The 15,679-nt window shown below is 40.3% G+C and overlaps 1 long non-coding RNA gene across 1 annotated transcript in view; it reads left to right on the plus strand.

Moving 5' to 3' along the window:
- LINC01317 (long intergenic non-protein coding RNA 1317) overlaps window positions 1-15,679 on the plus strand; it is a 590,861-nt gene that overhangs the window by 201,430 nt on the left and 373,752 nt on the right. The window lies entirely within an intron of this gene.

Genomic DNA, 15,679 nt, shown 5'->3' on the forward strand with positions numbered 1-15,679 from the left:
ACCTTTCAATCCCTAGCTTTAGAAGAGGTTGAATTACAGAGATATTAAAGTACTGGGGGTGTTTTGAAGACATAAACTTTGTCTGATTTCATTGATCCAGACTGTACTGCTAACTGTAGGTGGCTGACCTGTAAGTGTGTGCAACTGATCAAAAGGCAGGGGCAGTGGGGGTCAGGTAGGAGAGAGGATTCTTACTAGACCCTGAGAGCTAGAAATGCCTTTACGATAAGGTGTGTCAGCTTCCCCTTTTTATACGTGAGGCACCTGAGGCATAGACATATGATGTGAGTTGCCTAAAGGAACAACATTTACTTAAAAATAAATTACGTTATTTGGTATTCAGATGATTACTAAATATTTATTACCAGATAATTTATTTGGTTTTTTAAATATTCCAAATTCATAAATGCCACGTCTATAAAGACAAATCTATTGGCCAGAGTTGAAAAGCCTCCTTCTAATTTATTTGTTTGATAGTGATTTAGTCTTACCACTAAACTGTATGTTCTACATGGTGCTGACAGACCATTTTGGCTTCTTAATTGGTTATTCAGTTGCCTTCATATTGACAAATACATTCAGTGATTAGTGGGATGCAAACAGGTGATTCGCTGAGGCGTTGATCATAGTAGGCTTTAGTAGGTTTCACAGTGACCTTTGGGCACCTTCTGTGATACTCTGCATAAAAAGAGAGAGAAAGATCAAGATCAATGATCTCTGGCATTATCTTCCTCTTTACTTTGGAGGTCACTAGTCCTACTTCATTAGGGCCATACTGTATAGGTTTCATTTAACCTTAATTACCTCCTTAAAGGACTTATCTCAAAATCCAGTCACATTAGGGGTTAGGGCTTCAACATATGATTTTTTTTAGGGGGGGTCGCAATTCAGTCAGTAAGAGAGATGGAAGACCTGGGGTGTGATGTGACTCTGAGTCTGACTTAGAAACTCATCCTTATTCTTTGGTGCCTGTTGCTTCTTAGTGTATGACGTGGCAATAGTGGTATTTTTCCCTATCAAATTAATGTATATTTTTGTACCATAGCTCAGAATTAACTGTATTGCACTCCCCTCCAATCCCCCTCTTGTGGTAGGTAGGAATGGCCAACGATTCTAACTAAATGATACAAAATAAAATACTTTGATGTTACTGGTATACTTTATCTCCAGAAAGGAGATTCCTTCTGCAACTGTGTTTGTGTGCTGACCTCCGATGTCAGATTCAAGCTCCAACTATCAGAGCTTGGAAAATGGGTTACACCATTAACTCATTCCAAGCCAGGATAGTCATTTAACATTCACTTGATCCACACAAATATATATTGAGTGCTATGTGCTAGGAGCCCTAATGGCTGGCAGTATGGCTGTGGAAAAGGCTGATAAAGTTCTTGCTGTCATGGAGAAGATGGGAAGGTAAGCAAAGAATAAGAATTCCATACAAGATTGCTACTCTGAAGAAATGAAGTAAGATGGTGAAATGGATGGGATCAGGACGTGGAGTAGTATAGTTTGGTGGTCAAGAAACCCTCTTTGCTATAGTGGCATTTGAGCTAAAACGTAAATGGCAAGAAAGGGTTAGTCATGGAAAGATTTGGGAATTAAATGGTCCAGGCCAAGGAATAAGAAGAGAAAAGGCTCTGAATGGGAAAATATGATTTTCTTGAGCAACAAAGAAAGAGGCCAGTGATTGAAGTTGGGTGGGGTTGGCCCAAGATGAGACGGAGAAGTCGACTGTAGCCAGGTCAGAAAGGGAAACTATGGGAAGGAGGTTGCCCTTTATTCCCAGTGCAATGTGACTCTCTTGCAGGGTGTTGTGCAAGAGAGTGACATGGTCTGATTGGCCTTTGTAAATAATCATGTTGGCAGCAACACATACCGCTTTCAACAATTGGGATTCTGTGTCTCTCTCTGACTTGAGTATCTTCCTGAGGCAGAAGGAAACAACGTATTCTGCAGAAGGGTCCATTTAAAATTTGTTTTGGAAGAGCTGCTCTGTCAGATAATCAGAATAGAATGGCAATACAAATGTAAGCTTTGCTTGTAGCTAACCCGTGTCTAGTCAGTGAAGAAACTCAGCCACTTGTTGGTGACTGCCCATCTTTTTTCTCTGTTGTTCAGATAATATTGATGATGTCTTAATGAGAAGTGACTTGCAGCTTCCTTTCTTCCTTCCTCTCTCTCTTCCTTCCTTGTAACGACCCTTCTAATGAGGGAGGAATTCTGTTGTCTGTCAGTACGTGCTCTTTTTCCTATGCAGATTCATCCTGTTCTAGGTTTATTTTCTGGGCACTGATTTCTTCTCTTTTGGCACTGATTTTATTGTCTGCTTATGAAGTCCTCCAGCTGTCAGAGACCAGCCTGGCCAACATGGCGAAACCCCGTCTCTACTAAAAGTACAAAAATTAGCCAGGTGTTTGTGACACATGCCTGTAATCCCAGCTACTTGGGAGGCCAAGGCAGGAGAATCGCTTGAACCCAGGAGGTGGAGGTTGCAGTGAGCCGAGATCACACCACTGCACTCCAGCCTGGGCAACAGAGCAAGACCCTATCTCAAAATAAAATAAAATAAAATTTAATTTCTTCCAGTTAGCAGAATTTGAAGACTATAATGGGAGCAGATCTGAATCTGAACCTGGGAAATATTTGTTGCGGGCTTGCGTAGTAGCTGTGAGCCAGACTTACTCACCAGGGAATTCCCAGACGGGAAGCTGTGCTGCCTCCACCTGTGGGCACTCCTCCTCTCTGTGCTCTGATGATACCTGTTATAGGACAGCTGGTGTGGTTTGGGGACATCTGAAACTGTTAAAGTCACATGCTCCCACAGAGCAGCTGGTGGCTGTAAGCGTCATCCATGGTGGAAGCAGGGAACGTAATAAATATATATATAGTAAAAAATATATATATAGTAAATATATATATATATATATATATATATATATATATATATATATATATATATATAATCAGAGGTACAAGGAAGGAAGCCTAGCAGATCAACATTGAGAAATAGGGATATGATGGGGAAAAATGAAATTGAGAGGACACAGAAGAGATCATTCTAATTTCATGTGAAGAAATAGGAAATGAATGATGGAGTAGGGACTGGGGAGAGGGACAGGATATGCACATCTGTGCCCGTTCACTGTGTCTGTGACACTTAGAGTCCAAGTCTTTGCCACAGCCCTCTCAGGAAGTGGGCTTGTGCACGTGGAGGCACAGCTTTCAAACAGGGCTGTCCTCTGGTGGTTCCTGATTAGCAGTGTAACATTAATCAAGTGCAATGTTATGTGGCCTTATTTCTCCTGCAGGGCCATATACTAACCTGTGCAAACAACCCCCATATCAGCCCTGAATAATGCCTCTGAACTTCTCTCTCTTTCTTTTTTTTCTTCCATGTTTTTGGTACCCTGTACCCCCTTGTACCATGTTTACCTTGGAGGCCAGGTGAAGTAAAAATTAAAATAACTAGGGCTACAAAGGAACCCAATTATATTACAAATGCTTTCTCTCTATATATAATTATATTGAAATATATCATCATATTAAAAAACAAACGTGTGATATAGCAATACATATGCATTTTATTAACATGTTAAATAACAAGATCTGATGTGCCTAGTAACTTCCATTATATTGCAACAGGATGAGCATATTTTGAGATATCTGGACCAGTAGTAATATGGTATAAAAATATCTGTGATTTCCATTGGTGACAAAGTAACAGGTACCATTGATTCCACTATAGTTTTTTTTGCTTATTCATAGTTAAATAACATGCTAAACTTCAGTTAGTTGTTAGTAAAAGTAAAATAAAAATATATATAACCTCCAATCAAATTCATAGACCCCCTGTATTTATCCATGGACCTTGGGTTAAGAGTTAAGAATCTCTGCCCTAGGAGGTCTCTGAGGTAGAAAAATTAGGTGGCCAGCCTATCCATCCTTAAATTGGTAGAATGTACTCTGGTTCTGGGTTCTTTCTCTAGGGTTAAAGGATCCCTGAGAATATGGAAGAATTTTGTTGATACCTGGAAGCTTAATGCTTTCTGAGCATGTGCTGGGTAATCAATGCTGAAGGATATCACCAGAATCAGCTGGACTAAAGTTTACAATCCACAGACTTTTCCAACTGACCTGCTTCCCCAGTGACCCATAATCTTGGCCCTAGAAGAGGCCCCTATGGGATAACTGTGGGCTGACGTAATTCCTACATGTGCATCAAAATGGCCCCATGGTGGCTACAGTCACAGCCTCCAAGCCACAGAAATATTTGTTCACATATCAAAGTGTTTCCTTCAAGAAGAAATGAGATTGATTTTCTTCGCTACCTATTGAGATGATTACCTCTATGCCAGTTTTCATTTGTAAATATCAGGACAAGGTAACCCACATGCTATTAGACATGAAGCCACAAATTCTCATGGTTGGGGAAATGATTAATGATGATTCTTTCACCTGAAGTGCAGAGGTACTGCCAGAACCAGTGACCTGCCTCCTGCCCAGGACATCAGACATTTCCTGTTGGTGGAGTACAAACTTTTGTAGTCTTCTCTTGTTTTCCTGTTCTCTTGTCTTACCAACTTACTGCTCTGCCCAATATATAATTTTGCTGTGTGCTTCATTGCAAAGAAAATGATAAGTATGAATATTCTGGACCCTCCTCGTATGGATCTCACATGGTGCACTCAGGAGGAAATAAGATTATTGGAGGGTTCACATAGATTGTGTGACTGTGTGGGGGGGATGTTGTATAGGAGACAGAAGGTTTGGACACATGTTTGGACGTGATCATCTTTTTGGCTGCTATCAACTATAAAAGTCATGATTCAGTGATTCTGTGAAATGCTCTGAACTGCTATGATAAAAGATGCCATGGACACAAAGAACATTATTATTAGCTCCATTTTTTGAAGTGATGTTGTAATCTTTTTTCATTTTCAGTTTTATTATTCATTTGAGCTCACTGAATTTTCTCACCAGCTCTTCTTTTGTATTATTACAATATCTAACAGGTTTAATCAGCCAATTTGTCTTGACAAAAATTACATGCATGGCTGTCCCTATTCATAGCACTGTTTTGTTTTTTAAATCTCCATTCAGCCATAGCTTCCCTCTCAAAGAATACCCCATATGTATATTCAGTCCTAGTGTTTTGATTTTGCCAAAAGGCCCCTTATCTGTTTTCCACAAGCAGAACCTGCTTTAATACTCATTGTCTGAGAGAATTGTTTTTAATCACTCCATATTCATGTGGAACTCATAGGTAGCTCCAATATCAGATTCAAAGTGAACCAGCATTACTTAATAGAGTCTTTAAATAGATTATTAGAAGCAATTTTATTCCCTTGTGCTATTTAGTTCCATGCTCCTATTTTATCAAGAATATTTCCTTTTACCTGGCCTTGTCAGACTTTATTAGAGAGGGAGTGCATTAATAAGTTAAAAGTCTTAGTCAATATGAGAATCTTACATGAAGCTTCATGTTTTGCCTACCTTGGAATTATCTGGAATACTGGGCATGTATTCAGTTTTAAATTCATTACGTTGCTTTTTTGTTGGTCAAACCTTCAGCTCTATTGCCGCAAAGCTCAAATTCTCTGGACTTCTAATGAATCATCTTAAGAGAATTTATAGTACATATTTCTCACCTTGAACTAATATTTTAGACTTTGATTTGGGAGATGGTAATGCTTGCACAAATTTCTAAGCCACTTTGACCATTGCCGAGACCATCGCCGAGACCCTAACCCAGCGGTGCTAGAGGAACTGAAGACACACACACACAGAAATACAGAGGTGTGAAGTGGGAAATCAGGGGTCTCACAGCCTTCAGAACTGAGAGCCTCGAACAGAGATTTGCCCACGTATTTATTAACAGCAAGCCAGTGATAAGCATTGTTTCTATAGATTATAGATGAACTAAAAGCATTCCTTATGGGAAACGAAGGGATGGGCCAAAATGAAAGGATGGGTTTGGCTAGTTATCTGCAGCAGGAGCATGTCCTTAAGGCACAGATCGCTCATTCTATTGTTTGTGGTTTAAGAGTGCCTTTAAGTGGTTTTCTGCCCTGGGCGGGCCAGGTGTTCCTTGCCCTCATTCCGGTAAACCCACAACCTTCCAGTGTGGGTGTTATGGCCATCATGAACATGTCACAGTGCTGCAGAGATTTTGTTTATGGCCAGTTTTGGGGCCAATTTATGGCTAGATTTGGGTGGGGGGGCGCTGTTCCCAACATGTCCCCCTTCTTTGATTTACAAATCGATAAAAGGAAAGGCAGCTTTGTCATGGTGAGCTACTTCTCGCAGGAATCAGGATCTGCATCTGCAGACTATACAGTGACAAACAACACAGATTAAAAGCACAATCATCGTTTAAATTACAGAGCTTCCAAGTATTTTTATTCATTTTAATGGGTTACTAGCTGCTAGTCTGTTTGCAGCTCCTTCAGGCACTCCATTTCCTGGCATTAAGGTCAGGTGTGCCTGGGATGCTTCAAATATTGGTTCTTTTAATTTTGCAACATCCAAAAACAAGTTTGTAGAATGTGCTTCTAGATGCTTTTTTATTCTTTCCCAAATTTTGATCTTACTAAGAGCTATTAATAGTTTCCATAAATCCTTATGTTTAGCTCCTACAGCGAGCCATATCATTTGAGGTTGAGGTGCCACTATACCACCATGGTTCCAGATAGTAGGAACTCTGGCCGTACTTCTTGCCATTTCTACCATCTGACTGTTTGGTTCGGATCAGCTGAACATAGTGTGGCTGTGGCATGCAGGCTGAGAGGTACAACTTAAGCTAAACATCCCCTTAGGGGACCAATTAATAATGATTCCATAGGAATCGTTGTGCAGCTCCTCTGCCTGTTCTGCAATGCAATCTTCCTAAACAAGTATGTTCATTTTTTCTGACTGGGTCCAATCCTGTTTACAAAAAAGTTTTTGAGGGTGATATACTTCAATTATAGGAGCAGGTTTATTATGGTAAATACTGAGATCAGAAAGCATGTGTAACTGTGTTATAGAGTGATTACATCCAGGCACTATTGCCAGCCAAGATTGATAAATATGCCCAATGAGTATAATTGTTCTCTGAGTCAGCCCTTATTGAAGGAATACTCACGGCAGTGGTGATCACCGTTATCATAGCTACCATTAAATTACTTATTGTGACTGGCTGTCCTGCCTTCCTTAGGTTTTCTTTTGCCATCTGTGACAGCTTTTTGATCTGTCCCCAGGTGGGTGTCTGTGTTCAACGGGTGTTGCTCGTGACAGTTGGGGTCCTCCTCAGTGTCAGTATCGACATGGCTGCAACTGGGGGTCCTCGGGATCCTCCCCAGAATCTCTTCCTTGGCATCTGGCTTGTGATAACTTTTCAGGTGTCTTGATGGTATCCAAATCGGCTGTTGATTTTGGCCTGGAGAAACACAAGCATAACCTCTACCCCAAGTTATTATTTTACATATTTTCCAACTTTTTGTTATCGGATATCTCCACCAAACCAATTGTTTTGCTTCTGTCTTTGCAGCTGGTTTTTGTAGATGCTGTTCAGCTGCTGATAACATCTGGCCTTTGGGCAGGCTCAAAAAATTTAAAGTTAATAATGCTAGATTCAATTGTGTATGGGCTGTCCCGTAATCCCTATTTCTCCCCCTTTTTTGTTTTTGTCATCAGTTGTTTATCTGTATGAAATCATAACTGAGCATTTTTAATTAACTGTGTGGAATGAACCACGTATGAAGAATCAGAAATTATATTAATAGGCATATCAAAAGCAGTCAATACCTCAATTACAGCTACAAGCTTCGCTTTTTGAGCTGAAGTATAGGGCATCTATAAAACTTTACTTTTTGAGCCAGAATAAGAAGCTTTACCATTATTAGACCTATCTGTAAAACAATGAAAACACTTAGCAGGCTGCAGGTTGTTTACCGCAGGAATTGTAAATGCAAACCATTCAGTCTTGCTCAGCTAAGGGGATAATAAAGAAACAGTCTTTTAAATCTATGACTATTAAAGACCAGTTTTTTGGAATTATAGCAGGAGAAGGCAATCCTGGCTGTAATGCTCTGATAGGTTGTATAACTGAATTGATGGCTCTTACGTCAGTTAAGATTCTCCATTTACCTGATTTTTTCTTACTTACGAAAACTAGAGAATTCCAAGGGGAAAATGCTGGAGCTATGTGCCCATTTTTTAATTGTTCAGTAACTAATTTCTCTAAAGCCTCCAGTTTCTCTTTACTTAGTGGCCATTGTTCTATCCAAATTGGCTTATCTGTTAACCATTTTAAAGGTATAGCTTCTGGAGGCTTAACAGTGGCCACCATCAAAAATTATATACTAATCTTTGGCGGGAACTTTGTCCTTCTGCTTGAAGCGGTTCTTTCAAACCTTGCACATTTTTTCCTAGTCCCATACTAGGGACGTACCCCATTTCATGCATCATATGTTGACTTTGAGGGCTGTATAATTGTTCTGGAATTAAAACTTGTGCTCCCCATTGTTGTAATAAATCTCTCCCCTATAAATTTATAGGTACAGAAGCTATACTTGGTTGAATAGTCCCAGGTTGTCCATTGGGCCCTTCACAATACAAAATATAACTACTTTGATATACTTCAGGGGCATTACCAACTCCAACTATGTTAAGTTGAGCTGGTTGAATTGGCCACGTGGATGGCCAATGCTGTAGAGAAATGATTGAAATGTCCACTCCTGTATCTACCAAACCTTTAAACTTCTTTCCCTGAATAGTTATTTCACAGGTAGGACGTTTATCAGTAATTTGATTTACCCAGTAAGCTGCTTTGCCTTGTGTATTTGTGCTTCCAAATACTTCTGTTCATTTAAATTTTACTTTTCCCCATTCCCACATATGGCACAATAAGGAGCTGTGCTATGAACTCTCCTGGCTCTGATTTCCAGGGAACAGAAGTAGATAAAACAATTTTAATTTCTCCACTGTAATCTGAATCAATGACTCCTGTGTGTATTTGTACCCCTTTTAAATTTAAACCAAACCTGCCTAGAAGTAATCCTATTGTCTCCGCTGGCAAGGGTCCACAGACTCCTGTTGGGACCTTTTGTGGGGGTTCCCCAGGCAGAAGGCTCACAGCTCTTGTGCAGCATAAATCTACTGTGTGTGGCACAACCAGCTGTGGCAGGGGACAGTCATTGTACAGGGGTGAGGGAATGGCCTGAGCTGGAAATGCCCCTGTTTGGAATGGGGCCCGGGGCGGGCCCCTCATGTTGTTTCCTGAAATCGGGTTCCTGTCTTTATCAAACTTAGAGTGACACTGATTAGCCCAATGTTTTCCTTTTTTACATTTTGGACATATTTCAGACTCAGCAGTTTTCTTTTTTCCCCTATCTGGTGGCCTGACTCGCTGAGTTTTTCTACATTCTTTTTTAGTATAACCATGCTTCCCACAGTTAAAACAAGCTCCAGGAAATGGAGTATTTCCTTTATCCATTCTCAGTCCTGCCATTCCCTGTGCTAGCAGAATAGCCTTATGCAAATTACCTCCAATACCATCACAGGCCTTGATATAATCAACTAAATGTGCTTTCCCTCTGATAGGTCACAGAGCAGCCTGGCAATCAGGATTAGCATTGTCAAAAGCTAATAACTGCAACACTATATCCTGAGCAGCTTAATCTGCAATCACCTTTTTAAGAGACTCCTGTAACCGAGCTATAAAATCCACATATGGTTCTTTTGGTCCCTGTTTCATAGCAATAAAGGAAGGGTATTGTTCTCCACTTGAAGTGATTTTTTCCCAAGCTCTAATACACACTCCTCTAAGCTGTTCTATGGCATCATCCTGCATGACCACTTGTGCATCTCAACCAGCCCAGCTGCCAATCCCCAAAAGTTGGTCTGCAGTTATATTAATTTGAGGTTGGGCCTGGGCGTTGCAAGCAGCCTGAATGGAAGCTTCATCTGCCCACCAAGTTTTAAATTGTAAGAACTGAGCAGGAGTTAGACAAGCTCGAGTAAGAGCATCCCAGTCAGTAGGAATCATCCGACTGGAAACAGCAACATTCTTTAACAGTCCCATTACAAAAGGAGAACCTGGTCCATACTGATTAATAGCTTCTTTAAATCCTTTGACTAATTTAAAAGGAAAAGGCTCAAATGTAGCTATAATATTTCCCTGTTGATCTGGGGGGTGTATTCTAATAGGGAACTGCCAAGCCTCTAAATCACCGTCTCATCTAGCTTGCTCAATTCCTGCTTGAATAGAACTAAGAGCGGTCACTTGAGGTGCTGCTCAAACAGTCACTGGGGCAACTACTTTTTGCTCAGTGTCCTCCAGAAAAGAAAGATCTGGAGGGTCAGGCCACTCTTTTTCTTCAAAATAATAATGAGGGGGGTGCAGAAGGGAAGGGATGAACCTCTCTCTCCTTTGCTGCTTTAGCTTTAGCTGGCAAATAAACCTGCTCTGTAACCTCTTCTGTTACTTTGTTATACTCTCCTTCCTCCTCATTATCAGTGTGAAAAAGTTCCAAGGTAGAATGAACCAGAGCCCATACTTGTCCCATTGTTACCCTGACACTTCTGAGCTCCTCTTCTTACTCACCACAGGGATTGCTTTAAGAGTACTCAGGTGTCCTCCAGCTAGTTCCACATTCTCCAGCCATCATTCCGGTGACCCTTCAACCTGGATTCGAGCCCCCACAATGGACGCCACTTGCTGAGACCAGCTCGGTCAGGGAGACCCTAACCCAGTAGTGCTAGAGAAATTAAAGACACACACACAGAAATATAGAGGTATGAAGTGGGAAATCAGGGATCTCACAGCCTTCAGAGCTGAAAGCCTCGAACAGAGATTTACCCACGTATTTATTAACAGCAAGCCAGTGATAAGCATTATTTCTATAAATTATAGATTAACTAAAAGTATTCCTTATGGGAAATGAAGGGATGGGCCAAAATAAAAGGATGGGTTTGACTAGTTATCTGCAGCAGGAGCATGTCCTTAAGGCACAGATCGCTCATTCTATTGTTCGTGGTTTAAGAATGCCTTTAAGCGGTTTTCTGCCCTGGGTGGGCCAGGTGTTTCTTGCCTTCATTCCGGTAAACCCACAGCCTTCCAGTGTGGGCATTATGGCCATCATAAACATGCCACAGTGCTGCAGAGATTTTGTTTATGGCCAGTTTTGGGGCCAGTTTATGGCCAGATTTTGGGGAGCCTGTTCCCAAAAGACCGTGATCTCTAGAGTGTTACAGAGTATTTGGCTGGGGCCTTATACTTTAGAGAGAGCAGGTCTGTTGCCATGTTTTGCCTCCAAAAGTAAAAATGCAAGCTGGCCAATGAATTCATCTTTTGTCTTTTAAAAAGTCAGTCCCAGGTTGGTCAAAGGAATGCTTAAGGTACAGATATTTTGAAGGGGTTTCACTTTTAAATGCAATTTGTTTGAAAAGCATCAGTATGTAATACTCTGCCCCTGAAATCTTTTACTTTGCTTTTATTCTTTGATCAGTTAAAATCAGAGGACTTGCCCTTTGTCACACTCCATGATATTTTATTAAGAACTACCCTCAAATTACAGCACTTGTTGGGATTCTATTCCTGGGTCTACTTCTCATAGAAATTCTGCTTAGTATTATTCAACTTCAATTTATGCACATGGAAAATTATATTTCAAATGCCAATCTTTGGATTATTGAATTATTTTGGGTACACATCTAAAGCAAATAAGAAATATAGCCAAAAGTTAAAATGAAATTATTTTGTTGCTACTCACTATTTGATGTCATGTTTCTCTGCTCTTTCCATGATCATGAATAATTTTTTTCTCTTTTGTTTTTCTGAGACAGGGTCTTGCTGTGTAACCCAGGCTGGAGTGCAGTGGCGTGATCTTGGGTCACTGCAAGCTCCGCCTCCCGGGTTCACGCTATTCTCCTGCCTCAGCCTCCTGACTAGCTGGGACTACAGGTGCCCGCAAGCATGCCTGGCTAATTTTTTTGTATTTTTAGTAGAGACAGGGTTTCACAGTGTTAGCCAGGATGGTCTTGATCTCCTGACCTCGTGATCCGCCCGCCTGGGCCTCCCAAAGTGCTGGGATTACAGGCGTGAGCCACTGCGCCTGGCCGATCATGAATAATTTATGTCTATTTGTGTATCAGTATTACAGAAGATAGATATTTTATAGATAAGAGAGTAGGAGAATTTAATTATAAATATTAATCTGAGAGTGACTGCTGAATTCCTTAGATCTTCAATTTTCCTATTTACCCAAAGGAACAAAGACACAAAGACAGGCATATTTAGTTCTAACAGTAGCTTGTGTTTCCCTGAATTTGCATTTAATTAATTGCTAGCAAATCAAATGATATTTTTAGTACCTGGAGGTGGGATGTGGCATTGGCATGCTATTTAAAGAAATATTTTAATGAATTTAACAAATAACCCCCTAATACATCTGTTTTTATAAATTTGGATTTTTAAATAATGGGTTTTGGTAGAAGAATGATTCAAGTTTCATAAATGATGTCATATTTTACATGCTCTAGGGGTGCACTCTTATTAAAATTCAACCTTATATTGAACACTTCTATAAATAATGTTTTCTGATTCATTTCATAATTTATATTTTTGATAAATTCAATTTTTATAAATCAGTTTTTCTTAAAGTAGAGCACAGCTGGATTACTCTTCTTTTTCCTACAGATGCATAGTGTAGGGTAATTAGTTAATCTCTACAGTGTCCTGAAAAGATGAATAAAACATGGAGTGCTATTCCTACCAATCTCCTCTCTCACCTTTTCTCCTCCTCACTCTCAGGTGGGTTTGTAGTGGTTGAATAGATGTCAAAGAAATGGTTACTGGCTAATTTACTCTACCTCAAGGCTTGCCAGTGCTCTCTTGGAGAAACATTTTTATTTTATGAAAAGAAAAATAAATAAAAATAATCAAGTAGAAGTAAAAGAAAACAAGGAAAATAGGAGCTTGAAAATTGCAGGTGTATTACAGATAAAAGAACGAACAGAGGACAAAATAAATCTTGAATTTTATGTAATTATTGAATTTGTTTTAAAGCCTAGAGTGCAGTAGGGAGAACAAAGATCTAACTTACAGTCTTCCATCTCGTGTACGCCTCCTCTTCAGGCGTAAGGAAATTCTGTATCATCTCTGCTGTGTTCTAGAAAACTCTAAAAATGCTCTAGGTTCTGATGTTCAGCCTTAGCTCTCCCAGAAACCTTTGCACCCGAGCTACCAGCACACATAGGCCACACACACACACACACACATATGCACACACACACGTTTGCTGCTTTTTCTTACTTGGGCTTTTTTTTTCGGGTAGGTGGTGTTCACTTTCTCCATTGTACAAATGAGGATACCACTGGTGTCTGAGGCATTTTGTCTCTTCTGATTTTAAAATAAGATGCTTGAAGGTTCTGGAAATATTGCAGCTGAGATGAGGCTCTTTCTTTCCTTTCTGGCTTCTCAAAGCTTTGTGTGTGCTTAAAAGTGGCTCTTGAAGGAAATGGATGTTCTCTATTGGGAAAAGGCATTAACTTTAAGAGCAAAAGTCAAAGAACTGACCCTCTGTACCCTGGTTTCTGTCCTGCTTAACCTGTAGGCGTTATTAAAGACTGGGAAATATGGATTTGGGGTCCTTACTTCTATAGACAGATCATCACCTGTTTCTATAATTTTCTCAGGCCTAAAAACCATGCATGTTTCCATCTAATACTCTTTTCAGGGAACTATTTAGACCATGCCCAGGTTTTGTAACTTACTATTGTCCAGGGAAATAGACTTCTGTAGGTTGATATTGCCTACTTCCTTTAGGTTATCCTGTCTTCCGTTTATATCACCTTAAAGAAATGTTTCTGGGCAAATGTGTCAGTAAGACTACCATCACTGAGGGAAAAAGACACCAACAAAAAAAATAAAAAATAAATTTGAACCATAAAGGGTTAAGAAATTTGCCAATGTTACTGGAGTCTAGGGAATCACCTGGAAGCAGAAATCTTAGGGATCTTGTTTCATTATTGGCTCAAAGTGGGGCCTAGGACAAGTTGCTTCTCCCCTTTTGGACCCGTATTCTGAGAATACAGTAATTCTTGTCACTAGGGAAGCACCCAATATCCAATGCTGTTTTTATTTGTGTTTGATTTTTTCAAAAGGAGCTTTGCATTTATTGACAGAGAATTCACATCATACAGCTCATCCATTTAAAGTGTAAAATTAATTGTATGTTTTTTTAGCACGTTCACAGGGTTGCACAACCATCGTCATAATCTAGTTCTAGCACATTTTCATCCCCCTTCAAGGAAACCCTGTACCCATTATCAGTCAATCCCCATTTCTCTCCTGTATCCTTCCCTCAGCCCTAAACAACCCCTAACCTACTGTCTGTCTCTGCAAATTAGCTTATTCTGGACATGTACCCTAAATAGAATCATACAATATGTGGCCTTCTGTGACTGGATTCCTTCACTTTTCATAATGTTTTCAAGAGTCAAACACATTGTAGTGAGTGTCTTTGTAGTGAGTGTCTTCATTCCTTTTTATGGCCGATTAATACTTTACTGGATGGATATACCACATTTTCTTTATCCACTTATCAGTTGACCAGCATTTGGGTTCTTTTCATTTTTTGGCTATTTGTATTGAGATACAAATCCTTTATCACCTATATGATTTGCAAGTATTTTCTTGTGTTTCATGGGTCATCTTTTAGCTTTCTTGATGATCTCATTTGCAACACAAAAGTTTTTAACTTTGATGTAGTCCAATGTCCAATATATATATATTTTTTGAGATGAGGTCTCACTCTGTCACCAGACTGGAGTGCAGTGGCGTGATCTCGGCTCACTGCAATTTTCACGTGTGGTGTTCAAGTGATTCCCCTGCCTCAGCCTCCCGAGTAGCTGGGACTATAAACATGTGCCACCAGGCCCGGCTAATTTTTAGTTTAGTTTTTTTTTTTTTTTTTTTTGAGATGGAGACTCACTCTGTCACCCAGGCTGGAGAGCAGTGGCGTGATCTCAGCTCACTGCAAGCTCCGCCTCCCGGGTTCACGCCATTCTCCTGCCTCAGCCTCCCGAGTAGCTGGGACTACAGGCGCCCGCCACCAGGCCCCGCTAATTTTTTGTATGTTTAGTAGAGACGGGGATTCACCGTAGCCAGGATGGTCTTGATCTCCTGACCTCTTGATCCGCCCACCTCGGCCTCCCAAAGTGCTGGGATTACAGGTGTAAGCCACCACGCCTGGCCAATTTTTTGGATTTTTAGTAGAGACGGGGTTTCACCATGTTGGCGAGGATGGTCTCCTGACCTCATGATCCGCCCAGCTCGGCCTCCCAAAGTGCTGGGATTATAAGCATGAGCCACCACGCCCAGCCTAAGTGTTTTCTTTTGTCACCTATCTTTCGGTGCCAGATCCAGGAAACCATTGTGTAACCCAAGGTTACAAAGACTTATTCCTTATGTTTTCTTATGAGAGTTTTATAATTTTAGCTCTATGATTGTTTATCTCTTTTCACTGTAGAGTTCATCCAAACACTGAATACTTAAAAAAAAAATGGTCAAAATGATCCAACTCCTGGTAGCTTCAAATAATGGAAAAGCTGGCAAGAATTGAGGCTTGTGTTGAATATTTCATTTCAGGCAGTTGTATCATGATTCCATGCTCCCATCCATATTTCCTTTGCTATA

The sequence above is a fragment of the Homo sapiens genome, chromosome 2 (assembly GCF_000001405.40).
Source record: "Homo sapiens chromosome 2, GRCh38.p14 Primary Assembly".
NCBI lineage: Eukaryota > Metazoa > Chordata > Mammalia > Primates > Hominidae > Homo > Homo sapiens.